This window comes from Homo sapiens, chromosome 8 (genome assembly GCF_000001405.40).
Source record: "Homo sapiens chromosome 8, GRCh38.p14 Primary Assembly".
NCBI lineage: Eukaryota > Metazoa > Chordata > Mammalia > Primates > Hominidae > Homo > Homo sapiens.
Window position 1 is genome coordinate 131,421,274 of NC_000008.11, and position 27,171 is coordinate 131,448,444.

The 27,171-nt window shown below is 36.5% G+C and overlaps 1 pseudogene, besides 2 other annotated features; it reads right to left on the minus strand.

The window, feature by feature from the left end:
• Positions 6,218-6,326: a silencer, noted in NCBI's record as "fragment chr8:132439738-132439846 (GRCh37/hg19 assembly coordinates)". NCBI's record gives its function as "represses an EF-1alpha promoter that drives an FKBP-Casp9 reporter gene in an ReSE screen in HepG2 liver carcinoma cells {active_cell/tissue: HepG2}" and the evidence as "EXISTENCE:reporter gene assay evidence [ECO:0000049][PMID:32094911]".
• Positions 11,503-11,682, minus strand: LOC124900258 (uncharacterized; annotated as a pseudogene).
• Positions 12,328-12,871: an enhancer, noted in NCBI's record as "OCT4-NANOG hESC enhancer chr8:132445848-132446391 (GRCh37/hg19 assembly coordinates)". NCBI's record gives its function as "activates a minimal SCP1, AML or CMV promoter by ChIP-STARR-seq in primed H9 embryonic stem cells {active_cell/tissue: H9 hESC(primed)}" and the evidence as "EXISTENCE:reporter gene assay evidence [ECO:0000049][PMID:30033119]".

Consider the following 27,171-nt stretch of genomic DNA (forward strand, 5'->3'; position numbering starts at 1 on the left):
CACTCAAACATATCATATTACAAGAGAAGACACTGGGATCCCAGTAGTAGTAGCAGTAGTAGTAGTGATGGTGAATAGGCATGACTTATTTGGGCTTGCATTCTGAAGTGGGAATTTCACTTACCAGTGCTCAGGAAATTCTCACAGCACACCCAGGAGACGTGGCCATCTGCTAAGTAAGGAAAATGTAAGGGGAGGTCCTAGGGGTTGGACCACAATCTGCTCATTGTACGTCCTGTGCATTTAATTATGGCACCTATAGCCTTCCCAAATAGTCAGAGTCTCCAAGTTGAATTGTGGGAATGTAGGGTCCAAATGTCAGCCCTCCTGGGGGGGAGCACTTATCATATGGTAAGTACTGTGATAGGCTTGGGGCCACCAATATTAATAAGACCTGTCCCATCCCTCCAGGAGGTCATGGCATAAACTCCTTCCCACTGTCAGGCACTGGGAGTTGTGTGTAATAATCAGCTTAAGACCTTGTCTAGCTTCTAGGCCAGGTGTTAAGAGGGTTGGTTTTGCATTCAGACCTATCTTGGTTCAAATTCTGTCACTGTCATTTATCTACCTCGTGGCTTTGGGGAAATTAGTGACTCTCTGTGACTCTAAATTATCTTATCTGTAAAATAGGCATAAAGACACCCACCACACAGGGCGATTGTGATGGTTAGAGGTAATGTAGCATTTGCTCAATACATGTTAGATCTTGTTACTTTGATTGCTTTCTGATTCAAGACAGCAGTTCTGCCTCTCTCTGTAGTTATCAGCAGTGACTCACCACCAGTCCTCCCTAAACAAGAGATTCCTAGAATCTGCCACTTTATGGAAATAAAGCTTTTCCAGCATGTCCTGAGTGAGTGCAGGGAAGCCTCCTCTAGAAGCAAGTACTGCTTCCCATAGAGGGAAGCCCTTACTCAAATGCCTCAAGCTTGGAGTGAGGAGAGAGGACTCCCATTCCTCCCTGCAGGACAGAACTATACGAATTGACACTGTATTCTCACCAATCTGACACACTCAGCCCTTGGAGAGTGGGAGTAGGTACCTGATTGTGGTGCCTGGGAGAAAGGTTCTGTTCCTGCAGGATCTTTAGTTCCCCTCTGCAGATCCCAAGTCTCCGCCCACCAGATGAGGTTTCTTCATCTGCCACTTAGTGGGAAAATTAGACTAATTCAATAGGAGCATGGTCAAATGCTCAGGGGAGTCCCAGTCAAGCTTCAGGAGGTTTATAGTGATTCCTTCACCGACTAGCTATGTGACCTCAGGCAAGTTACAACCAAAGCAACAACAACAACAATAAAAATCTTTCTGTGCCTTGGTTTCCCCATCTATAAAACTGCAGTAATAACAGTAACCACCTCAAAGAGTCATTATGAAGATGAAGTAAATTAACATTTGTAAAGTGCTTGGAAGAGTGCTAAACACAAGGTATGTTCTATGTGGTATATTTATATAAGCTAAAGGTACAAAACACTTCAGCAATTCTTTCTCAATTATTTCAGATTCCATAAAGGAGAAGGGTGTGATTACTTATCATCACAATAGGTAATATTTATTGTGTTAGTACAAAATGCCAAATATCGTTCCAAAGCATTTATATTTATTAAGTTATTTAACCTTATGGGATATGCACTGCAATTATCCTTACTTAAGAAATGAAAAAATGTAGAGAGAAAAATTTCATAATTTTGTCATGAATATTTAACAGATTTGGCAAGGTTTTCTGCCAAGGGCTGGATTATATATTAACTGAATATATCAATATATAATTGTTAGCTGTATCATTAATGCTATCATAATTAATATAATTAAATATATTAATCATGCATAATTAATATAATTAAATATATTAATCATGCATAATTAATATATAATTATATTAACATAATGTATTAATTACAATATATTATATTATATATTAACATATATAAACATATATAATATTAACATAAAATGTAATATGATAAAGATGTCTCCAAAGTACAGTGGTTCGACTTTCAATTTTTCTACTTCAAAGTGGTGCAAAAGCAATATGCATCCAGTAGAAACCATACTTTGGGTACTCATACAACCATTCTGCTTTCACTTTCGATACAGTATTCAATAAATTACATCCCTGTATTATAAGCATTTAACACTTTATTATAAAATAAGCTTTGTGGTAGTTGATTTTTGCTTAACTGCAGGCTAATGTAAGTGTTCTGAGCACATTTAAGATAGGATAAGATAAACTATGACATTCAGTAGATTAGATATATTAAATGCACTTGAGATTTGTGATCTTTTCTCTTTTCTTTTCATTTTTGAAACAGGGTTTCACTCTCATCATCTGGGCTGGAGTGCAATCTCAGCTCACTGCAACCTCCCTCTCTCGGGTTCAAGCCATTCTCCTGCCCCAGCCTCCCAAGTAGCTGGAGGTGCGCAGGTGTACACCACTGCGCCAGGCTAATTTTTGTATTTTTAGTAGAGATGGGGTTTCGCCATGTTTCCCAGGCTGGTCGATTTGTGATATTTTCGATTTATGATGGGTTTATGGGTTTCAATTTATGATGGGTTTAACATACAATGAGTAAGTGTAGTAGCACGTGTATTATACATAATATATATTATTATAATAGTGTGTAATCATTATATATTATGATACATTACATAACATATATTATATAATTATATATCATTATATGTAATATGTAAACATTACATTATATTCATATGTATTTCATATATTATAATCTGTCTTCAAGGAGGACAGATATTGGCTATGTGATTGGAATGCTCAGAATCATCAGTATAGGGCACTATAGGGATCCACAATTGGATCACATTACAAAGAAAAAATAAAAATATAGCATCTTTATTGAAAAACAAATGATCAAGTAAGGTTCACTTGGCTATCTTGTGAGAACTTTTAGTTAAAGTCATTACTGCATGGGTAATGCTAACAGTTCCAGGTGAGTTCTCAGTTGGCCTCTGAAAAAGAGCCTGTTTTAATTCTGCTGTCTATTGAAGAGTGGAAATTACTAGTCAGTTTACAATACAGCTGGGAATGGCATACCACCTTAGAGACTCTTGGAAAAAAGCCCAATCTTTCTCAAAGAGCATAGTAGACTGAATGAATCAGATACACAACCTTAAGAAAATTTAGGTCCAAAGAAAAATAGTGTAGATGCTAGTCCACTTTGAGGCATTGTTATAGACACTAGGAATGGAACAGTGAACCAAAGATGGTGAAGTTCTCATTTTATACAACTTACTTTCTAGAAGGGGAAAATAAAAAATAAACAAATAGACAAACAAATAGACAAAGCTGGTAATACATTCCAAGATAAAAAGTATAAAAGATAAAAGGAACAGAGATTGAGTGGATATAGGGGGTATTATTTTAAATAGGTTGGTCAAGAAAGTCCTTATTATAGAAATGGCATTTGAACCAAGGTCTGAATAAAATGAGAAAACCTCAACACACAGAGGAATCCCCCCAAACATCAAATGCAAATACATGAAAGCTGTCTGCATTAATTGTGGTTTTCTCCATGTGTACTGCCAGCTGGCATACCTGTGCAGTCAGTCTCAGAGCAGAGGAGCAGAAGTCTGGCTAGATATCCAGTCTCCTTTCCCCCAACAGAAGCAAGATCACCATTCTAGCCTTTCCTTCCTGTGCACCATGCTGGTGACACCTTCCCTATCCCAATTTCTCAATATTTATACTCAGGTAGGTTCATTTGTACAGGTAATTTTTGCAACATTTTTAATACCTGCAAATGCAGTACTTATTCTGCTTCTCATTACCATTCTCTAGAGTCATTTCTTACTGATATCTGCTAAGGCTAAAATTATCTTTTATCCTATTCCTGAGCCCTTCTTAGCCACTTTCTTGCTCAAGGTATTTAAGAATATTAAACAGGAACAAAATCTTATCATAAAATGTGATATGAAGAAAATGTGTGGGAGGGTCCTATCTAATACTAGGGGGAATGAGGGCACATGAAAATGGTGGCCTGTATTCCAATTAGAATGCAAGGGCAATTGCTTACTTGCCTCTGAGTGCAACTAGCACAGTGTCTGGCACCTACTTGATCCTTAATATTACCTTGGAGCTGAATTTAACAATGAGTCTATGATTCTAGCAATAAATTAGGTCAAGAGAGTTTATTTATCAACCTATCAGAATCCAAGGTAAAAACATAGAGCAAACATAAAAGTTATTCAACAAACAATAGTTCCCTTTAAAGAATCCCCAATTAGCTTTCCAATATACACCAGTGGACTGACATCCTCAGCCAGTGCTGCAGATCACAAGTTCTGTATGTGTGCTCAGGCACTGCATGAACATTGGTTAATAGTTGTGGATTGAGATGTAAAACATCCTGGATCAGCAGGTCTAGTCACAGATGCAAAATGTTGATGCACAGTGATCTGAAACAACCTCTTTTTTAAGATGATGCCTTAGTTCATCAATAGCTAAGAAGACAGGCAAGGCAATTATGTTAAAGACCAATTCCTTTTTGTTTTAGATTATACAGTGTGTTAGGGCATCTGTTGCAGGTGCTATATACTCTAAGGGATGGCCTAGGCATCCTGACTTTGTTCTTTTTCTCTGTCCTGCCTATCCAAGCCTCATATTATCATGCATAGACAGAGGTGTCTAAGGTGGGCCTGGGCATAATGTAGAGATCATGAACCTGAAAGCATGCTCAAAGTCTCACTTTTCCCTTAATAGTTTCTTTATGGAAAAGCAGAGATAACATTTAATCCTTAAGTTGATATAAGAGTTCCATATAAGAATATCACCATTCTACTCTCTGTATTTAATGAATTTGAAGATTTTAGCCACCTCATGCAATATTTGTCCTTGAGACTGGATTATTTCACTTAACATAATGTTCTCCAGTTTCATCCATGATGTTGCCTGTAGCGGGATTTCTTTCTAAATTATGGTGAAATAATATACTATTGTATGTTTATACTGCAATTTTTAAATCCATTTATCCATAAGGAAGGGGAAATGGGGAGATGCAAATGAATGAGGATAAAATTTCAGTTATGCAAAATAAATAAGTCCTGAAAATTTGCTGCACAATATTTTATCTACAGATAACAACATGAAGATCTCATTTTATATATTCTTACCACATTAAAATAAAGAAATCAGATTTGGCACTTAATAGTTTTAATGTCCAACTCATATTTTTAATCTATTAGTTTAAAGTCACTTAATTATTAGAATCCACAGTACAAACTCACCTCTAAGTCCTGAAAACATTGTCTATATGTGCCATTTTTTCAGTAATTCAGCATAAACAACTTTATAATATTCATTCAACATTCAGCTAATTATTAGATATCTACTTTGTTGCAGAGCTAGAGGCTTGAGATTTAAAAGTAAATAGGAATAGATAGAAATTTTGGTAAACTGCAAAAGAATGATCACCTAAAACCAACTTTGGGAGCATAAGGCGTTCATTGCATGTTTACATTTACCACTTGTATTAATCTGTTCTCATGCTGCTAATAAAGGTGTACCCAAGACTGGATAAATTATAAAGGAAAAATAGCTTTAATGGACTCACAGTTCCAAATGGCTAGGGAGGCCTTGGGACACAACCAAACTGTATCATCCTGCCCCTGGCCCCTCTCAAATGTCATGTCCTCACATTTTAAAACCAATCATGCCTTCACAACAGTCTCCCAGAGTCTTAACTCATTTTAACATTAACTCAAAAGTCCACAGTCTCATCTGAGACAAGGCAAGTCTGTTTCACCTATGAGCCTGTAAAATCAAAAATCAAAAGCAAGTTAGTTACTTCCTAGATACAACTGGGGTACAGGCATTGGGTAAATACACCCATTCCAAATGGGAGAAATTGGTCAAATAGAAGGGGCTAAAGGCCTCATCCAAGTCCAAAATCCAATGGGGCAGTCAAATTTCAAAGTTCCAAAATGATCTCCTTTGACTCCATGTCTTACATCCATTCAGGCTGATGCAAGAGGTGGATCTCCATGGTCTTGGGCTCCACCCCTGTGGCTTTGCTGGGTACAGCCTCCTTCCTGGCTGCTTTCATGGGCTGGCATTGAGTGTCTGCAGCTTTTCCATGTGCACAGTACAAGCTGTTTGTGGATTTACCCTTCTGGGGTCTGGAGAATGGTGGCCCTCTTCTCACAACTCCACTAGACAGTGCCCCAGAGGGGACTCTATGTGGAGGCTTGCACCTCACATTTTCCTTCCATGCTGTCCTAGCAGAGGTTCTTCATGAGGGCCCCACCCCTGCAGTAAACTTCTGCCTGGTCATCCAGGGGTCTCCATACATCCTCTGAAATCCAGGTGGAGGTTCCCAAACCTCAATTATTTACTTCTGTGTACCCACAGGCCCAACACCATGCATAAGCCACCAAGGCCTGGGGCTTGGGCCCTCTACAGCCATGGCCTGAGCTATACCTTGGGCCCTTTTAGCCATGGCTAGAGCAGCTGGGACACAGGATACCAAGTCCCTAGGCTGCACAGAGCAGGGGCACCCGGGGTCCAGCCCACGAAACTATTTTGACCTCCTAGGCCTTCAGGCCTGTGATGGAAGGGGTGCTGTGACAGTCTCTGACATGCCCTGGAGACATTTTCTCCATTGTTTTGGTGATTAACGTTCAGGTCCTTGTTACTTTTGCAAATTTCTGCAGAGGGCTTGAATTTCTCCCCAGAAAATGGGTTTTTCTTTTCTATTGCGTTGTCAGCCTGAAAATTTTCCAAACTTTTATACTGTTTCCGCTTGAATAGTTTGGTGCTTAGAAATTTCTTCTGCCATGTACCCTAAATCATCTCTCTCAAGTTCAAAGTTCCACAAGCCTCTAAGGTGGGGCAAAATGCTGCCAGTCCTTTTGCACAGCAAAAGTGAATTACTCCAGTTCCCAACAAGTTCCTCATCTTCATCTGAGACCGCCTCAGCCTGGATTTTATTCTCCATATCACTATCAGCATTTTGGTCAAAGCCATTCAACAAGTCTATAGGAAGGTCCAAACTTTCCCACTTTTTCCTGTCTTCTTCTGAGCCCTCTAAACTGTTCCAACCTCTGCGTGTTAGCCAGTTCCAAAGGCGCTTCCATATTTTCAGGTACCTTTACAGCAATGCTCCTCTCCCAGTAACAATTTACTGTATTAGTCTGTTTTCATGCTGCTAATAAAGACATACCTGAGACTGAGAAATTTATAAAGAAAAAGAGGTTTAATGGACTCACAGTTCCACATGGCTGGGGAGGCCTCACAATCATTGTGGAAGGTGAAGCAAAGGCACATCTTACATGACCACAGGCAAGACAGTTTGTGAAGGGGAACTCCCCTTTATAAAAACCATCAGATCTCATGAGACTTATTCAGTATCACAAGAACAGCATTGGAAACACCTGCCCCCATGATTCAATTATCTCCCACCAGGTCCCTCCCACAACAAGAGGGAATTTGGGGAGCTACAACTCAAGATGAAATTTGGGTGGGGACACAGCAAAACCCTATCACCACTTAACTGGAGATTCTAGCTGGTATCATATAATCAAAAACTAAATAATGAAAAGTACTGAAAAATAATCCAAACTGGATTATTTACAGGTGATGTAATATAGAAAAGCCAAGAAATATACATATTAAATGTTAGGATGACAAAAGATGTTCATTAAGTTTGCTAGATATCAGATCAATATATGAAACACAAGAAGTACACAGCAATTGCAAGTTTTAAAAAGACAAGATACAGTTGAAATAGTAACTGAACATAAAGGAATCTACAAAAGAATTTAACAATATGCAAAGCCTTTATGGAGAGCATTAAAAACTTTCTTGAAAGACATTGGAGTTGATTTATATAAATAGAGATTGTAGTATGTACATTTATGAGTTGGAAGACTCAATGTTATAAAAATGGGTAGTGAATTCATGAATATTCATTTTATTATCCTTTGTACCTTCTTGTATGTGTAAAAGCATCTACCATTTTAATTGAAAAATTAAAAATATTTAAATGTAATTTTTAAAGAACAAATAGACACAAAGTGTTTTTGAGTACATGCCTTGCATGTGCATATACATGTTAAGGCCAAACAGTTGGAGTGTGCCTAATTTCATGTAACCTACCATGATTTGTTGGAAAATTATGTGTATCTACACTGGATAGATGAGCCAAGTGAAGCTCAAGGTAGATAAGTGGCTTCCCAAAGTCATACCTCACTAAGACCATATGTTGGCCTTCTTTCTCCTGCCCGGGACCTCTTAGCTGGCCCAGTGTTCACTTACCAGCCAATACCACCACATTTCTCAGGTCGACCTAATGCACACAGAATTGGGAGTCTGGTAGAGTTGGGAATCCTGTTAATCAGTGTCTCCTTTGGTAGGACATAGGTGATGATTTCAGTCTAAATAATGGGCAGTTTAATGTCATGTGGTGGGATGGGTGCAAGGTGTTGCTAGGCTTTGAAACATTGGCCATCTGGGATTTGCCCCTTGCTTCCCACAAGAACTGTCTGCTAAGCACTCATGTCCAGGTAGCACTGCCATTAAAGCTATGTAGCCACTCATTACCAAGCTCTGAAATCCATCTCTGGAAAATAAGAGTGAATTAGTCACAGGTGGTGCTGCTGGACACATACACGCTAATCAGAAATGACTTTTCGACACTTCTCATAAGCCCCTGTGAACAGCTTTTGAAACAAACAAACAAAAATAAACCCCCCTCCTAACAGAGCTTGCCCTGAGGTTAAAAACTGAAAAATACATACATATGTTTATTCATTTGTTCACCTTTTAATTTATTTATCTTTGAATATATTTCTTCAATAAATATTTACAGTGTTTCTTTGTGCCACATATTGTATGAAGCCCTGTGTATACATTGTGAAAAAAAAGTGGTCCTTGCTCTCAGAGAGCTTATAGGATAGGGAAGATGTTAAACAAACAAATATAAGTATCCACAAACATTAAAAATTAGATCAGCATGAACAATATGACAAAATCCCATCTCTACACAAAATAATACAAAAATTAGCTGGGCATGATGTCATGCACCTGTAGTCCCAACTACTCAGAAGGCTGAGGTGGGAGGATTGCCTCAGCCCTGGAGGTCCAGGCTACAGTGAGCTGAGATTGTACCACTGCTCTCCAGCATGGGTGATAGAGTAAGAAAGACTGTGTTTCCCAAAATAAATAAATAAATATATAAATAAAATTGAAAGTAATAATAAAAATTGAATTGGGGGAAAGAGTTGGAAGGAGGATAAAGAGGAGGAAGTTCTTAAACTTTTTCAGGGAGTCACTTTCTGAGAAGAAAGCATGAAAATCAAGCCTAAGGGAAGAGTTTTTGATCCCCTGCAATACTTCAGATTTCTTGGGAACACATTTCTGTCTCTAGTTCATTTTTGCATCCCTAAAACCTATCACTATGAGACAGTTCAGTCTATTAGAGAACATGTTAGTTATTGTTGCACCCAGTGTAAGGTTTACTAGACCTAAATATCCAACTCCATTGTTGCCTCAAGGGGCTCCAAGCTCAGCCCTCTTAGTTTTCTTTTTTCTTTTTTTAACTTTTATTTTAGGTTCAGGTGTACTTGTGTAGGTTTATTATATAGGTAAACTTGTGTCATGTGGGTTTGTTGTATAGATTACTTCATCACCCAGGTACTAAGCCTAGGACCCAATGGTTATTTTTTCCTACTCCTTTCCCTCCTCCCACCCTCCAACCTCACTGTCTCTTGTTCCTTTCTTTGTGTTCACAAATTTTCATCATTTAGCTCCCACTTACAAGTGAGAACATGCAGTATTTGATTTTCTGTTCCTGTGTTAGTTTGCTAAGGATAATGGCCTCCAGATCCATTTGTGTTCCTTAAAAAAACCATGATCTCATTCTTTTTTGTGGCTGCATATTCCATCTGTACCACATTTTCTTAAACACTCAGGTATAACTCACAGCAGCACTTCTCTACCTTTACTGTGTGGAAGAACACGTGACAGAAGGCATGAATCTGTGCAACATACTACTAGTACATGTAGACTTAAGATGTACATTCATATTAACCTAAACTTTTTCTGACCCATTCAAAAAAATGTATCAGAAGGCAAGTAAGTAAGAGCAAACTTATTACTGAATTAACCTTGGATCCACTTTACTTATACAATCCAAAGTACAACATTCATATATCTGTACTGCTGTTAATAACAGACTACTTGTAGGACACATGACAATTATTTACATTGGTTTTCTGATATCACAGTAAATGTAACTGCTCTGCAGAGCTCCCGTTGTCACTCCCACCTACATGAATGGGCCTCAGGCCCTATCCCCTTAGGTATTATTTTCTTAAATCCAGTAACTCACTGAAGAATTAGTCGAAGTCCCCAGTTACATAAGACTGTCTTCATCCCATCCACACACGACTGATTAATTGCTTCCACATTTCTCAATACATTTTTTTTAAACCAATGCTCTCATATCACTTGCCTACTCCCCACTACATACCCCTTAATTATTGGTCTCTGGTGTTGAGATTTATAAAGGGCCTCCACCATAATACCACTTTAGGAGTTAGGGTCATTATTAATAGTCTCTTAATACATTATATATTCAATAAATACATATCAAATAGTTACTATCATCATCATCATCATCATCATCATTGTCATTCCTGTTATGTGTAAGGCTTTTGGGAGGCACTGGACCATCAGCAGTGAACATTATGGACAAGCAACCACTGATTAGTTTTCTTTCACTGTAGATTAGTTGGCATTTTAAAAAATTTTGTAAGTAGAATTGTACAATGTGGACTTTTTGTATATGGCATCTTTCAATCTACATAGCGACTTTGAGATTCATCCATGTTTTTGCATATCTATAGCTCACTTATATTGTTACTGTTATGGTCATTTATATTGTTATCCTATTATATGGATATACCTCATTTTATTTATTGTTCACTTCTTGATTAATACTTGTATATACGATTTTCTTGTTTTTGCTACTGTGAATAAAGCTTCAATAAGCATTTCTGTACAAGCCTTTGCATAAAGGTACATTTTCATTTATTTTTGGCAAATACTTAGGAATGGAACTCCTGGAATATTTAATGAATAATGTATCTAGCTTTGAGAGGGAAGTGGTCAGTTTCCCAAAGTGTTTGTTCCATTTTACTTTCTCATCAACAAGTGTATAGGAGTTCAACCTCTTTCACCTCTCAGCCAGGTGCTTAACCAGAAGTACTTGCTACTGTCAATCATTTAAAAAGGCCATTTTGTAAGTATAATTTGGATAAAATAAAATTTGTTTAAGTGTACATATTTCATATGTTTTTACAAACTGGTATAGCCACTTACCCACCAAAATTGAGATACAGAAAATTTATATCACCCCAGAAACTTTCCTCATGACCTTTTGTAATTAATGTCTTCCCCCAAATGCAGCCCTGGGAAACCATTGAGCTGTTTCTATTACTAAAGTTATGCCTTTTCTTTGTCTTTTTTATCTCCTTTTTCTTTTCTGCGTTCATCATTAGCATTTATAAAACTAGACTTAAGAAAAGAATTAGGTTTGGGGGCACATGCATGATCTTAATATAGTGAATGTTATACCCACAAAAATTAAAATTAAAAATTAAAAAAATATAGCAAATGTTTAGGCTGTCCTGACTATTACAAAATCAGAGCAATGAGAATATTGGCAGAGTTTTGTCTTTTCTACAATTTAATATTAATTGTGTACATACACAATATAGTCTTTTGTGTCTGTCTTCCTTCGCTAGCACAATGCTTTTGAGATTGATCCATGTTCCTGAATATATGAGTAGATCATTCCTTTCTTTTGCTGACTAGCTCTCCATTACATTTTCCATTCACTCTTCTATTAGTGGACATTTGAGTTGTTTCTAACTTGGCAATATTATAAATTATCTCTATGAATGCACATAAAAGTATTTACATGGACATAAGTTTTCATCTCACCGGAATAAAAACTCAAGAGTGGGACTTCTGGATCTCATGGTAAGTGAAATAATCTGTACACCAAAACCCTGAGTCGTGAGTTTACCTATATAACAAACCTGCACTTGTTCCCCTGAAGCTAAAATAAAAGTTAAACTATTAAAAAAAAAAGAAATGGACAATGTTTCCTACAAGCTACATATGAAAGCAACACAAATACTTGATATTGTCCTCACCAACATTTGGTATTGTCAGTAATGTTACCGACACAACAGGTGGGTTCAATTGCTTGGTGGGTGACAGTCCAATGACCACAACCAAGGAGGATTTAACAAGGACATTTTATTACTTGCAACAGGTAAGGAAGAAACCAGAGGTAGTCCCCCAAAGCAGTGCCTCCCTGAACAAAGGTGAAAATAAGGCTTTTACTGGGCTGATTAGCTGAGTCATTGCATATGGAGGTGGAGTAAAGGCAGTGCAGGCACAGTCATTGATCATGCTTCTACCTAAGACGCATGTGTGGAAAATGGAGAGTAAGCTCCTCCCTGGGCTGTGTTTTTAGTATGGCAATGATGAGAGTTTGCCAAATTCACCTGCAACTCAGGCATCTCTGGATCCATCTTGTTTTTGTTTTGCTGGGGCTGGTCATAATCAGTGGCACAGCATGATCAATGACTGCGCCTGTGCTGCCTTTATTCTACCTCTACATGCAATGACTCAGCTAACCAGCCCAGTAAGAGCTTTACTTTCACCTTTGCTCTGAAACTTTTCTGAAACAACAAGAACTCAAGATGGAGCAGTTACAAGTGGCTACTTCTTTGCAGTGAAAACCTAGGCACCTTGGGTTACAGTAATTTTGGCTACACTAGTGGATGTGTGGTGGCACGTCTTTGGGGAAGCTTACATTTCCCTAATGATTTATGAGGATGACCATTTGTTTTTCTGTGCTTATTGGACATTTGTGTATATCTTTTTTTGTGTGTATGTGGAATGCCTTCTTGAACACTTTGCTCTTTTGTCATTTTTATTGAATAGTCTTCTTATTATTAAATTCTAAAAGTTATTTATATATGTAAGTTCCCGTCAGAAATTTGCATTTTGTTACTTTCTTTCAGCCTGTGCCTTGTTATATATTGTATTGATAGTATCTCTCTCAAAGAACGAACACTTTTATTGTTGTGTTTAAAAGCTTTATTGAGATACATAAGTACTGTCTTAATTTTAATTTCTTAAAGTCAGTTAGCATATGTCCCCAGAAATTAAGTTTTTTTTACATTTGCTAAGACTGCTTTAGTTTCTTTGCATATCTAATGATTTTTAGAGCGAGTTTTTAAATTTCTACACAAAATCTCACTGGGATTTTTGATTGGGATTACACTGAATATATAGATAGAAAAACTGTTGCTAGCAAATCTACTTTTATAAAATGATTAAAGAAAGTTCTCTAAACAGAAAGAAATTGGAAAAAAAAACTTGGAACTTCAGAAAGAAAAAATAGAACATAAAAGTCAACAAAAGTAGAAATAAATTAAATATTTTTCTCTCCAGAGTGTCTTAAATCATATTTGATGGCTTATGTAAAATAATATCTTTTGATTTAGTGCTCAATTTATATAGAGAAATAATAAAAATAATTATATTTTAAAAGTGGGAAAATTAAATGACCTAAAAGGAAGTAAAGTTTACATACTTTAGAGTGATAAAACATATCAGTAGGATTTAGTAAATAATATACACATATTATAATACCTAAAATGGCTGCTGAGGAACTAAACAAAGCAGTATACTCAAAAACACTATAAATAAGTAAAAATGAAATTCTAAAATATGTTTAATTAACCCACAGGGGAGTTTCAAAAGAAAGGCCAAAGCAGAAAAATAAAGAAAAAGAAAAACAAAGTTAAAAAAGAAATAATAATATGGAAGACTTAAGCCTAACATGTAAATAATTACCTTAGGTAATTAGTGGTCTAAATACATGATTTAAAAAACATTATTTGAATGGTTGTAAAAAAATAACCATGATCAAACGATATGATATAGTGACTACGAGTAACTCATTTCAAATAAAATAACATAGGTAGGCTGAAAGTAAAAGGATAAAAAAAAATGTATACCACACAGGCTTTTCTTAAAAGCAAGGCTATATTAGCATCAGCTAAGGTTGACTTCAGAGCAAAAAAAGTCACTGAAGATAGAAAGGGTGATTATGTAATAATAAGGGGACCCAGGATACAGGAGACACAGCAATTCTAAATGTCCATTCAGTAAACAACAACCCATTAATATAAATAAAACAAAGCTTGACAGAGCTAAAAGACATCCCATGCTCATGAATCAAAAGAATTGAAATTACTAAAATGACCATACTACTAAAAAAATTTATAGATTCAGTGCAGCCCCCTCAAAATATTAATTAAATTCTTCATAGAAACAGAAATAACAGTCCTGAAATTCATATGGAACCACGAGACCCTAATAAGCCAAAGTAATACTGAGCAAAAAGAATAAAGCTGGAGGCATTACACTACCTGACTTCAAATGATACTACAAAACTATTGTAATTAAAATGGCATGGTTTTGGTATAAAAACAGACACATAGATAAATGGAAGAGAATAGAGCAATAAATCCAGATATTTACAGTCAATTGATGCTTAATAAAGGTGTCAAAAACACACATGAGAGAAAGAACTCCCTGTTCAATAAATGGTGCTGGAAAAACTGGATATCAGTATACAGAAGAATGAAACTAGACCCCTATCTCTCATTATATACAATGGTCAACTCAGAGTGAACTAAAACCTTAAACATAAGACCTGAAACTATAAAAGTACTAGTAAAAAGCATTGTGGAAACACTTCAGGATATTGGTCTAGGATAAGACCTCAAAACCACAGAAAACAAAAACAAAAACAAAAGACAAATGGTAGTCCCAAACTAAAAAGCTACCTCGTAGCAAAGTAAATGATCAGCAGAGTTAACATCCTGTAGAATGGGAGAAAATATTTGCAAACTATTTATCTGACAAAGGACTAAAATCTAGAATATACTAGAAACTCAACAATAAATCACAACTAATCTCATTCAAAATTGGGCAAAGGATCTGAATAGATATTCCTCAAAAGAAGTCACACAAATGGCCACAAGGTATATGAAAAAATGCTCAACATCACTGAGCATTAGGGAAATGTAAATCAAGACCACAATGAAGTATCAGTTAAAATGGCTATTATCAAAAAGACAGAAAAATTACCAAATGCTGATGAGAATGCAGAGAAAGGAATCTGTTATACACTCTTGGTGGGAATGTAAGTTAGTATCGACATTATAGAAAGTAGTATGGAGGTTCTCAAAAACACAAAAATAGTAATACTATATGATCTAACAATCCCACTACTTGATATTTATCCAAAGGAAAGGTAATCAGTATATCAAACGAATAACTGTGTCTCTGTTTATTGCAGAACTATTCACAATGGCCAAGATATGGAATCAACCTACGTGCCCATCAATGAGTGGACAAAGTAAATGTGGTATGTATACACAATGCAATACTATTCAGCCATAAAAAAGAATGAAATCCTATCATTTGCAGCAACATAGATTGAGCTGGAGGTCATTATGTTAAGTGAAATAGGCACAGAAAGACAAATTTTGCAGGTTCTCATTCATTGATGGGAACTAAAGAAAGCTAATCTCACAAATGTAAAGAGTGGAATGATGGTTACCAGAGGCTGGGAAGGTGTGAGGGGTATGAATAGAAGTTGGTTAATGGGCACAGACATACAACTAGATAGAAGAAATAAATTCTAAGTTCTAAGGTTGTGTAGCACTGTAGCGTGAATACAGTTAACAACAATTTATTGAATATTTCAAAATAGCTAGAAGAAAAGGTTTGAAATATTCCCAACACTAATAAGTGATAAATGTTTGATATGATGAATATCCTAAATACCATGATTTGATAATTACACCACATTGTATAAATGAGTCCAAATATCACATGCACCCCCAAATATGTACAATTATTATACATCAACAAAAATACTTTAAAAATTTACTTCAGTGATTCTGCTTTTCAACTTTTCATCTGTTGATATTTTGTCTGTTAATAATTTCCATTTCTCTGTTGACTTTCCCAATCTATTTATTTATTTAGTGATGCACATATATGTATACATATATATATGTCATTTTCTGCTAAATCAAATATTTGAGACATCTTGGATTCAATTTCTATTGAGTACCCTTTCTACTGTTTTTGCATAGCTAGTAATTTTTGCTTCAGAAATGAACATTGTAAATAATACAGTATTTTATAGCAGCTCTGGATTCTATTGTTTTCTCCTCAGAATTATTGTTTTGTTATTATTTTGTTGTCGTTCTATTGGGAATTTAACATGCCTGAATTTAAAATGTAACCTTCTTTTTCAAGCATTATATAGTAGCTGATATCTCTATTCTGCTTTTGTATTTTACATTTCTGTTTTTTGTTTGTGTGTTTGCTTTTAGCCTCCTTACTGTACTAGGGGTCTCTCCTAGGCCTGAAGAATTTGGCATTCATCCCAAAATGTGGGTGGCATTGGAGCTCACCTTCTTCAGGGCTTCTTGTAGGGACTCCCTCCTAGTTTTCAGCGGTTCTGCTGGTTTAAAACTTTGTCCTCTGACACTTCAAGCCTGTGAAGCTTCAGGACTTTGCCACCTGATCTGTTCAAAGTTGGCGAATGTGTCCAATTAGTTCAAAACCCAGCAAGCTCACAGGTTAGACCCACTTTGCTCTCTCTTTCTAGATTAGATTTCTTCTTGGATTTTGTCTGCAGTTTATATGGACTCCAGAGTCTGCTTATGCAATAATAATTTAACTGTCTTCTAGAGATTTCGGCAGAATACGTAATCAGAATTAATTCTTTTTTTTATTATACTTCAAGTTTTAGGGTACATGTGCACAATGTGCAGGTTTGTTACATATGTATACATGTGCCATGTTGGTGTGCTGCACCCATTAACTCGTCATTTAACATTAGGTATATCTCCTAATGCTATCCCTTCCCCTTCCCCCCACCCCACAACAGCCCCGGTGTGTGATGTTCCCCTTCCTGTGTCCATGTGTTCTCATTGTTCAATTCCCACCTATGAGTGAGAACATGCGGTGTTTGGTTTTTTGTTCTTGCGATAGTTTGCTGAGAATGATGGCTTCCGGCTTCATCCATGTCCCTACAAAGGATGTGAACTCATCATTTTTTTATGGCTGCATAGTATTCCATGGTGTATATGTGCCACATTTTCTTAATCCAGTCTATCATTGTTGGACATTTGGCTTGGTTCCAAGTCTTTGCTATTGTGAATAGTGCCGTAATAAACGTACGTGTGCATGTGTCTTTGCAGCAGCATCATGTATAATCCTTTAGGTGTATACCCAGTAATGGGATGGCTGGGTCAAATGGTATTTCTAATTCTAGATCCCTGAGGAATCACCAAACTGACTTCCACAATGGTTGAACTAGTTTACAGTCCCACCAACAGTGTAAAACTGTTCCTATTTCTCCACAGCCTCTCCAGCACCTGTTGTTTCCTGACTTTTTAATTATCGCCATTCTAACTGGTGTGAGATGGTATCTCATTGTGGTTTTGATTTGCATTTCTCTGATGGCCAGTGATGATGAGCATTTTTTCATGTGTCTTTTGGCTGCATAAATGTCTTCTTTTGAGAAGTGTCTGTTCTTATCCTTCACCCACTTTTTGATGGGGTTGTTTGTTTTTTTCTTGTAAATTTGTTTGAGTTCATTGTACATTCTGGATATTAGCCCTTCGTCAGATGAGTAGATTGCAAAAATTTTCTCCCATTCTGTAGGTTGCCTGTTCACTCTGATGGTAGTTTCTTTTGCTGTGCAGAAGCTCTTTAGTTTAATTAGATCCCATTTGTCAATTTTGGCTTTTGTTGCCATTGCTTTTGGTGTTTTCGACATGAAGTCCTTGCCCATGCCTATGTCCTGAATGGTATTGCCTAGGTTTTCTTCTAGGGTTTTTATGGTTTTAGGTCTACCATGTAAGTCTTTAATCTGTCTTGAATTGATTTTTGTATAAGGTGTAAGGAAGGGATCCAGTTTCAGCTTTCTACATATGGCTAGCCAGTTTTCCCAGCACCATTTATTAAATAGGGAATCGTTTTAATTCTTATTCTTTTTGCTGTTCTTTGTCTTCAAAAATTCCCCATTTAAATTTACAGCGGTTTTTTTATTCATAGCCCTGACATTTTTTTGGCACCTTAAGCCAGTAAAACTATGTTTCTAAAGCTGTAGTCAAAGTGGTTGGACAGTTTCCTAATGCAAAACACACACACACACAACCAATCTTTACCCCTTCTATTTGTGTTTTTTTCAATTATACTCTTTAGAGACTTTTACCAGGTTGGACAATCATTCTAGTATCTTAAACTAGTTTTTTTTTCTAATTATACTGTTTTAAAAATTTTCATTTGTGGAAGAGTTCATGCTATAAGTTTACTACTCTGCCATTAATTTAAAAGGGTTTCCTCTCCTTTAGTTATTATGTTAAAAACAAATGACATTAAGGGATGACCTCTTTATGGAGGTGATATTTAAGTAGAGATATTAAATATTATCATAAATGTATTTTTAAAGATGCTTTAATTCCCTTTGGGCCTGAAGAAAGACTATAAATAAATAGTATTTACCACTGAGAAACTAGTTTTTCTAAAGTGAGTACATTCACTTAGCTATATATGAATAAATATTACTAAGCACCTGCTCTTTTCCAGGTACCGTTTTAAGTGCTAAACATAGACAATTTTCCTAATTTCTCATGACACTTACATTTTAATAGGAAGAAACAAAAAGTGAAGTCAATAATCAAATTATATACAGTGTGATGTCATTATAAGCACTATGGAGAAAAATTAAGTAGAAGGAATGTATAGAGTGTCAGTAGAAGAAAAAATCAATTTTAAATAAGGAATTAGGGAAGACTTCACTGATAACAAACATCTGAGGTAGATATATTTGGGAAGTGCAGCCTGGGCAGAAGGAGTAGCAACTGAAAATGTCCTGAGTTGGAAAATGCCTTTAGTATTTGAGGAACAGTGAAGGAGCCACTGCAGCTATTTAGAGTGAGCAAGAGATAGGATTTAAAAGGGGAGGGAGGAGAAATAGCAAAGAGCCCAATCTGCAAATCCTCTTAGATTATTATAAGAACTTTTCTTATTTTACACGGATTGAAATGGGGAGTCACTGGAAGGGTTTGAGCAAAGAAGTGATGGCAGAAAATAGTTATATTGTGTGTGTATGTATATGCACATACATACAGCAAGAAATCTCTATCTGTATCAGGTCTTTTTCCATACCTAGATATGAAATTTCTGCCTTGTGCTTTAACAGGATCTCTCACTGCTATGTAGAGAACAGACTGTTTAGGCAAGAACTCAATGAATCAGCAAGTCACTTCAATAATCCAGGAGATATTATAGTGTCTTAGACCAGAGAGATAACAAAGGAGATAACAAAAGAGTTGGATTCTAGAAATCCAGAATGCCTATAGTGTTTTGAAGGTAGAGTAAGTGGTATTTTGTGTGAGTGCAGCTGACATGGGCACAGCAACTATTTATAGCAGTGTAGTACTGCAAGCATCATATTATTTGGTATGCATCTGCCTACATGTATACCTCTTCTCTCTTTTGTGTTCCTTGAGGATATGGAATATGTAGTTTTATCTTCATAGCCCACAGTCCTCCAATATCTGAAAGCTGTTTCACTAAATTTTTATCCATTGATTCTTTTCCAGCTCTTCTGAGCTGCATGGAATAAGCCTGATTTTTCTTCCCCATAGGAGGCCTCTGCACACTTGAAGCCACTTCTTCTTACTTGCCATTCTGTACACATATGAAATACTAGAGGTGGATGGAGGTGAGTATCTAATAGGTTTTAGGACTTCAGTGGAATAAGATTGAGTTTTGAGGGCCATTTACCAGCCACAGCAAGGAGAATATAACATGTTCCTTGCCTACAGCTCAGTAAAGACAATTTTCAGAAGGCTGGGTTAATCGGGACTGAAGAAGGGAAAACTAAAGGAAGATAACTGCCCTATTCAGAAAACCTCACTCTTTTCCTCATTCAGGGTTCCCTTTCTCCTGTGAATAAATGAGCAACTTCTACATTCTGAGACAGAAACTTCCTCAGCAGCAGCACTGGGCTCGTGGGGTTCTGTACTCATGACCATGGTAAGTAGGCAGGAGCTAGAGGAAACCTCATACCAGAGCCACAGTAATACAGACCTAGGCTAATTTCCTTTCTAACTTCCCTGCTCTTTTCTAACTCTCTCAAGTAGGAGATTATAATCCTAGGATTAACATCTATAGCAACTTTATTATAAAGCCCCCTCATTTCTACAACTCTGTGTAGTTTATAAAGTACTTTCACATTTTGTAATTCACCGAATATATACAACAGATTTGCAGGATAGATTTTATTATCATCATTGAATTTATTGAAGAGAAGAATTATTTAAAAGCTTATGTGGAGTTACTTTGAGTTGTTTCTTGTTACTCTGGGGCACATATAAACAAAAAAAGCTGAGTACTCTGTGCAGATTTTATAAAAGTGAGAAAGGCTTTAGTTCAGAAAAACCAGGGCAAAGACACTTAGAATCAAATAAAGAAAAAGGGAACAAGTATTGTTTATCAGAGATCTGGTTATTGTTTGTCTAGAGATTGCCAAATAAGTTCTAGCTGTAGCCTTTCTGGGGGTAACTTACAGCATCCTTAGAGATAGAAGAGGTAGGCATGCAGTTAACTACAGGTTAGGAGAGATTTATATTTTATTTATACCCTGTATTCATGGAATGAGAAATAATAATAAAATCATCAGCAATAATAAACATCAGTTTTTAAGCACTTACTGCATATCAGGCTAAATGATTCCCCGGGATCATCTCATTGAATCCCCACATCAACCCTGACTGGTATAAATTGTGGACATCTCATTCTCTTAGATAAGGAAATTGGGATTCAAAGAGTTAGGTTAATTGTTTAAGGTCACAAAACTAATAATGGCAATGACAAGATTGAAGCTTTTGATGATCTAACTTCAGAAATGTGACCTCTTAACACATGGCTAATTTGACTCTACCAAGAACCAAGGGAAAAGGCGGCCGTTTTGGAGCCCAAGGTGTAGCACTGACCATGGGCTACAGAAAAAAGCCAACTGAAGCCTCTCATGTAAATAAAAATAATCTAATTATACCACTGTAAAAAGGCAGCTTAGTTTCAGTTAGGATCAGTTATGTGGAGCCTTTTACCAAAGTAAGACCTTATAGCTAACAAACGTGTTAGGTTAAGTGAGCCTATCATGAGGTAATAAGACAACATCCACATTTCAATGGATTAAACCAGCAAAATGTATTTCTTACTCATGAAAAATCAAGTGCAAATCTGGGAAAATTTCCAGGGCAAATGTCCTCCATGAGGCAATTCAACAATCTAAGCCCACAAAGGCTCCAGCATCTTTTACTTGAACCACCTGCAAATTAAGGCATACTCATCACTCATGGCAGGAGACATGACTACTGAAGACTTCTCATCAACAATTACATACTTTCATCCCAAATAATGCATTATCACCTCTGGTCATAGCCTATTGGCCAAAGTTAGTTACATGGGAGTAAAGAAGTGTAATTCTCCCATGGTCTGGGATGATAGGGAGGACCCAACACGAGTTGTGAAGCAGGTTCACTGTGTACTGGTTACAAACTTGCCTGGGTCCAGTGAGACAGAACACACACACACACATACAAGGTGTTACATGAGATGGGTTTATTACCTAAAGATAGACAGCAAGGGACAACAGAAGCCTAGGATTCATTGAGAGTCAATCCCTCAAGGCTTAGAAAAGCTGGCTGGGGCGGATGGTGTCTCATCTGCACATGCCTTACTTGCACCACAGGTGGAGAACCCCAGAAATCAGCCTAATCTGAGTTTTATACCCTGGGGTAACATGACACATTTGGCTAAAGTATTGAAAAACATCTTTTTCAAGGAGCAGGGGAGGTAGATAAAAATAACACAGGCTTTTCTGGCCAGTACCCACTTATCTCAGGTGGTTAAATTCCCAGCACATTCTACAGTTATTCTTGAGATTGTAAATAAGAAAGGGAGGGAGAATTGGGTCAGTGAAAGGGCACTCAGAGAACTGTCCTGAATGAGTGTCTTCTAGAAACCTCTACCATACAAGTGTTAGAGCATCCCAAATGAAGTTAAGCTTGCCATTAAATGTGCTACCGATTTGTACCTTTTCAAGAACTATAGTGTCAGCTTGCATTTATTGACATCAGGCTTTTACGTTTTTTTTTTAAATATGTAGCACTTCATGTAACTCTTCTCAACAACCCTATGAGAAGGTATTACCCATATAATCTAGACCTTTTTCACTAACCTCTGAGGTTTGAGGCAGGAACTGTATCTTGTTTTATTTACACCTCTCCCTAGCACACCGTTTAGCTCTTACTAGGTGTTTGTTAACTATTCTGTGAATCTGGGTCAGTTGTAGCATGAGAAATAGAGACTCATAACAGTTATGTGACTTATCCAGGCTCACATAATCAGCAGGCGAATTAACCAAGATTTGAACTTAAGTTCATAACTCAAACTCTTCTATACTCAGCCTCCATGACATTGCTCAAGGGGGATTTCTGGTCACATTTTAATTGAAATGTATGCTACCCTTCACCAGGGCCAAAATTAAAGCAACCATCAAGCATTCAGACCAGCCTGAGATGTGGGAGGCTTGGCCACTCAGGCATGCTGATGATAGCCATGTTTAGCGAGGCAGCTGGAAGCCAAGACATGAAGCAGGATGCCAAGGGGGCTTGGCCCTTTTCAGGCATGCATTGATGGATGACTCTTGCAGAGGCAGCAGATGTACTGAGATACTGGGACTGTTGGCCTCATTTGTCAATTGCCTAGCACTGCCGGGTGGCTCTCCTCCTCTGATATTGTTTGTGCATTTGTTACTCCTAAGGAGCAACTTTATCTGTACATAGCACCTGGGGAGCTAGGTCTGGAAGAATAGAGGCTTTGGTTTAATTACCTACTTACCACAATACATCTTTTTCCTAGGAACATTGACAATAAAAGTGAAATGACTGGTGTTAAAGGTACAAGAGAATGAATCTTCTCTTAATTTTGCTAAGCCAAATGGAAACCAAAACAATTTCTCAAGTGGCTTGCGGTAGCAGGTCAATTCCTGACGGCTCAAATTTACCACTTTCTTAGAAAAATTTTCACATCTCTCTATGAAAAGAATTCTAAGCTCTTGGGACTAAGCTAAAGTAAATTTGTTTTGGGTCTACAAATTGTTTTAGGTTAATTCATCTCACTGTCATAGATAAACATCAGTGACATACTATAGCCTAATAGATTATACATTTTGGTTTCTAAACTCTTGAGTGCATCAGAGAAAGCAAACTATATCAAGTGCAATTCAGTTTGGTTGCACATAATAGAAAAATCCCCAAATAACAAAGGTTTAAACATAAGAGTTTATCTTTTCCATAAAAGAATTACAAAAGTTACAGAGCAGGGCCAGTGGTGGCACTGCAAGATTCTGGAAAAAGTCTTCACCTCATGTTTCTTCAACATCCACTGTTAATGTAGACAAGATCAGAATGAATCTTACCATGCAATTTGTAACTCTTTGTATCAGTCAAAAGACCAAGACTGCCAACATTTCTTCTATCCCTAAACTCCTCAAATCTATACAGAAGTGTCTATTTCCATTTTGGATACATTTTTCATTCTTCCCCAGTCCCAGAGACCCTTTTATGAGCACATTCAAACATAAGTCTCCATCATCAACAAAACACTACACATTTTCACTCAATTTTCTGAATGTCCTTTTTACCTTCTTGCTCCAACAGAAATCTGCCTTTCCTCTGAAAACACTCTTTCTCCTTGAACACTATTAAGTATGCATTTTTCCCCCGGTGCTTCTTGGCCTAATGTACCCTTTGATTCACAAAGTCACTTTCACACATTCTCCCTCCTTTTTCCCTAGATCTATTATTTTTAATCCTCACCATCAGATCTTTGGTTCAGAATATCTCCTTGTGACAGTCATCTGCAGACAGGAAGGGTATTCTGCCTCATCCTCAACAATTGGTATAATCAGCTTTTTAATGTTATCCATTGTAGTGGCTATGTAGTATTCTCATTGTTTTCATTGTATTTCCCTGTTCGTTATTGATGCTGAGTGCCATTCAATTATTTATTGAGACTATCTATGAATCTTCTTTTGGAACTGCATATTTAAATCTTCCAGCACATTTTTTAATCTGATTCTTTAACTTATATAGAGTTGCAAGAGGTTTTAGATATCCTGGACAAAATTGCTCTATCAAGTATACATTTGTGAATATTTTCCCCATTCTTTGGCTATCCTTATTGTTTCTATTTTGTTAAGTATTTTTATTCAGGCATAATATGCATAAACTAATCCACATATAAAGCATACAGTTTTAAATGTTGACATACATATACACTCGTGAAACTATCATCATAATCAAGATAGTGAATATATTCATCAACCCCCAAAGTTTTCTCTCCTACTTCTGCAGTCACTTTCTCTCACTCATCTCGTCCCCACCATTATCTTTTATCTCAGCCTAACAACAAAGATGCTTTCTATTATTATAGATTAGTTTGCATGTTTTAAACTTTCAGATGAATTGAATCAGTAAGTTCTCTTTTTTGTCTGACGTCCTTGACTCAGCCTAAGTATTTTGAAATCCATTCACATTGTAGCATCAACGTAATTGTATCAATAGCCTTCTTTTTCCTTGCTTTTTACACCATTGTATGGCTATACTACAGTTTAATTATCCATTCCCATGTTGACATAGTTTCACTTCTTCTTTTCTGATCTGAATGCTTTTTTTGTTCCTAATAAGTAGGTACCAAACAGAGACTGTAAGCAGGCTACAATCTCTAGAACAATATTGAATAGAAGTGTTGATTGCAAGTATCCTTGATTTGTTCCTGATATTGTAGAGAAAAGGCATTTAGTCTTTCACCATTAAATATGATATTAGCTGTTAGGTTATTATAGAAGCCTGTGATCAGGTTGAAAAAGTTCTCTTTTATTCCTAGCACAATTAAAGTTATTATTAGGAATAGATGTTGGCTTTTTAAAAATGATTCTTTCTGTGTCTGTGGAGATGGCCATAGAGTTTTACTTTTTAGATGGATACTGTAATGAATTATACTGATTTTTAACCTGATACAACTTTGCATTCCAGGCAAAATCCTACTTGGTGATGATGTATTAGTCCTTGAATATGTTTTTAGATTTTATCTGCTAAAAGTTGTTTAGAATTTTTACATCTATACTCCTGAGGGATATTGGCCTGTAGATTTCTTTGCTTGGAATACCTTTGTCTGGTTTGGTGCCAAGGCAATATTGGTCTGATCAAATGAATAGGGAACTAATCCTTTCTCTTCAGTTTTCTGGAAGAGTTTGTGTAGAATGGATATTGCTTCTTTATCAAAATGTGGTAGAAATCACTATTGAAGCCATTTAGGCCTTGAGTTTTCTTTGTGTGAAGTTATGTTTTTGCTTCTGTTTATTAACGGAAACTGAATTTCTTTATTATAACTGAGAAGTATTTAATTTTACCTAATAATAGGACATAATTTTAATTAAACATTTTATTTTTAGACAATTGTAGATTCACATACAGTTATAAGTAATACAGAAATATTGTGCATCATACCCAGTTTCCCCTCATAGTAACATCTTGTGAAAAATCTATTACAATATTAGAACCAGAATATTGACATTGATAGAGTCAAGACATTTCAGCCTGGAAATCCAAGATTTCCACGTGGTCTTCACTGCCACTTTGGAGGGGCAGGGGCTTCATTACCTCCCATGGGAAATTAGATTATAAGCTTTCTACTCAGCATTCTCTCATACCAGCCTGGCAGCAGAATGGGGTGCCTTAATCCAGCCTGAAGAAGGTAGAAGTCTAGGCTCCACCCTTTGGTATAGCAGAGCAGTGACTGTCTAAATGTTCTGCCTCACTAGGCTGCCTCTTTCCTGATCCTTTGACAATAGAGAGCAGACTGTTCAGGCTTTTGGTTTGTCCCCATTGGCATTTCTTCACTGTCACCTTCATCAGCTACAAGTCAAAAAGAAAACACAGGAAACTGGAAACTCATCCATGTTCCTTGAATCCCTCAGTCCTTAACATTTTTGTCTTCTTGTCTCCATTTCTCAGTGTTCTTATGTTTCCTTAATACACAATGTCTAAGATTTTTAGTTGTACTTAGCAAGAGGGAGTAGGTAAAAGTATGTCTATTCCATCTTCGCAAAAAAGAGAAGTCCTGGTGAAGTTTTAAACTATAATTTTAATATCTTTAATAGACATAGAACTATTAATGTTAGCTATTTCTTTTGGACTGAGATCTGGTAGATTACAGATTACATTTTTCAAGGAATTTTTTTCATTTTGTCTATCTTGTCAAAATTACTGACATAACATTGTTCATAATATTCCCCTATTATCTTTCTAGAATGTGTAGAATTTGTTGTATGTAACCTCTCTCATTATTTATATTGATAATTTGTATCTTCTCTTTTTTCCTGATAAATATATCTCTTTTTCAATTTTATGGATTTTCTCAAAGAACCAGCTTATAGATTCACTGACTATTATTTTTCTGAATTTTATTTCATTGATTTTTATTTGGTTTTTATTATTTTCATTCTCCTATGTGCTTTGGCTTTAATTTGCTATTTTGTTTCTGGTTTCTTAAAGAGAAAGAAGAGGTCATTGATTTGGGAAAGGCATATAGTACTATAAATTTCTAAGTATTATTTTAACAGATCTCACAAGTTATATATTCTGTTTTCATCTTCATTCAGTTCAAATAATACTTTCTAATTTCTCTCATGCTCTTTCCTTTGATCCAATGGTGATTTAGAAGTATGTTCTTTGGTTTCCAAATATTTTGGATGTTTTTAGAGATCTTTCTGTTACTGGTTACTTTTTTTTTCTCTTTTTGAGACAGAGTCACTCTGTTGCCCAGGCCAGAGTGCAGTGGTGCGGTCTTGGCTCACTGCAACCTCCACCTCCGGGGTTCAAGCAATTCTTGTGCCTCAGGCTCCCAAGTAGCTGGGATTACAGGCACATGCAACCACAGCCAGCTAATTTTTGTATTTTTAG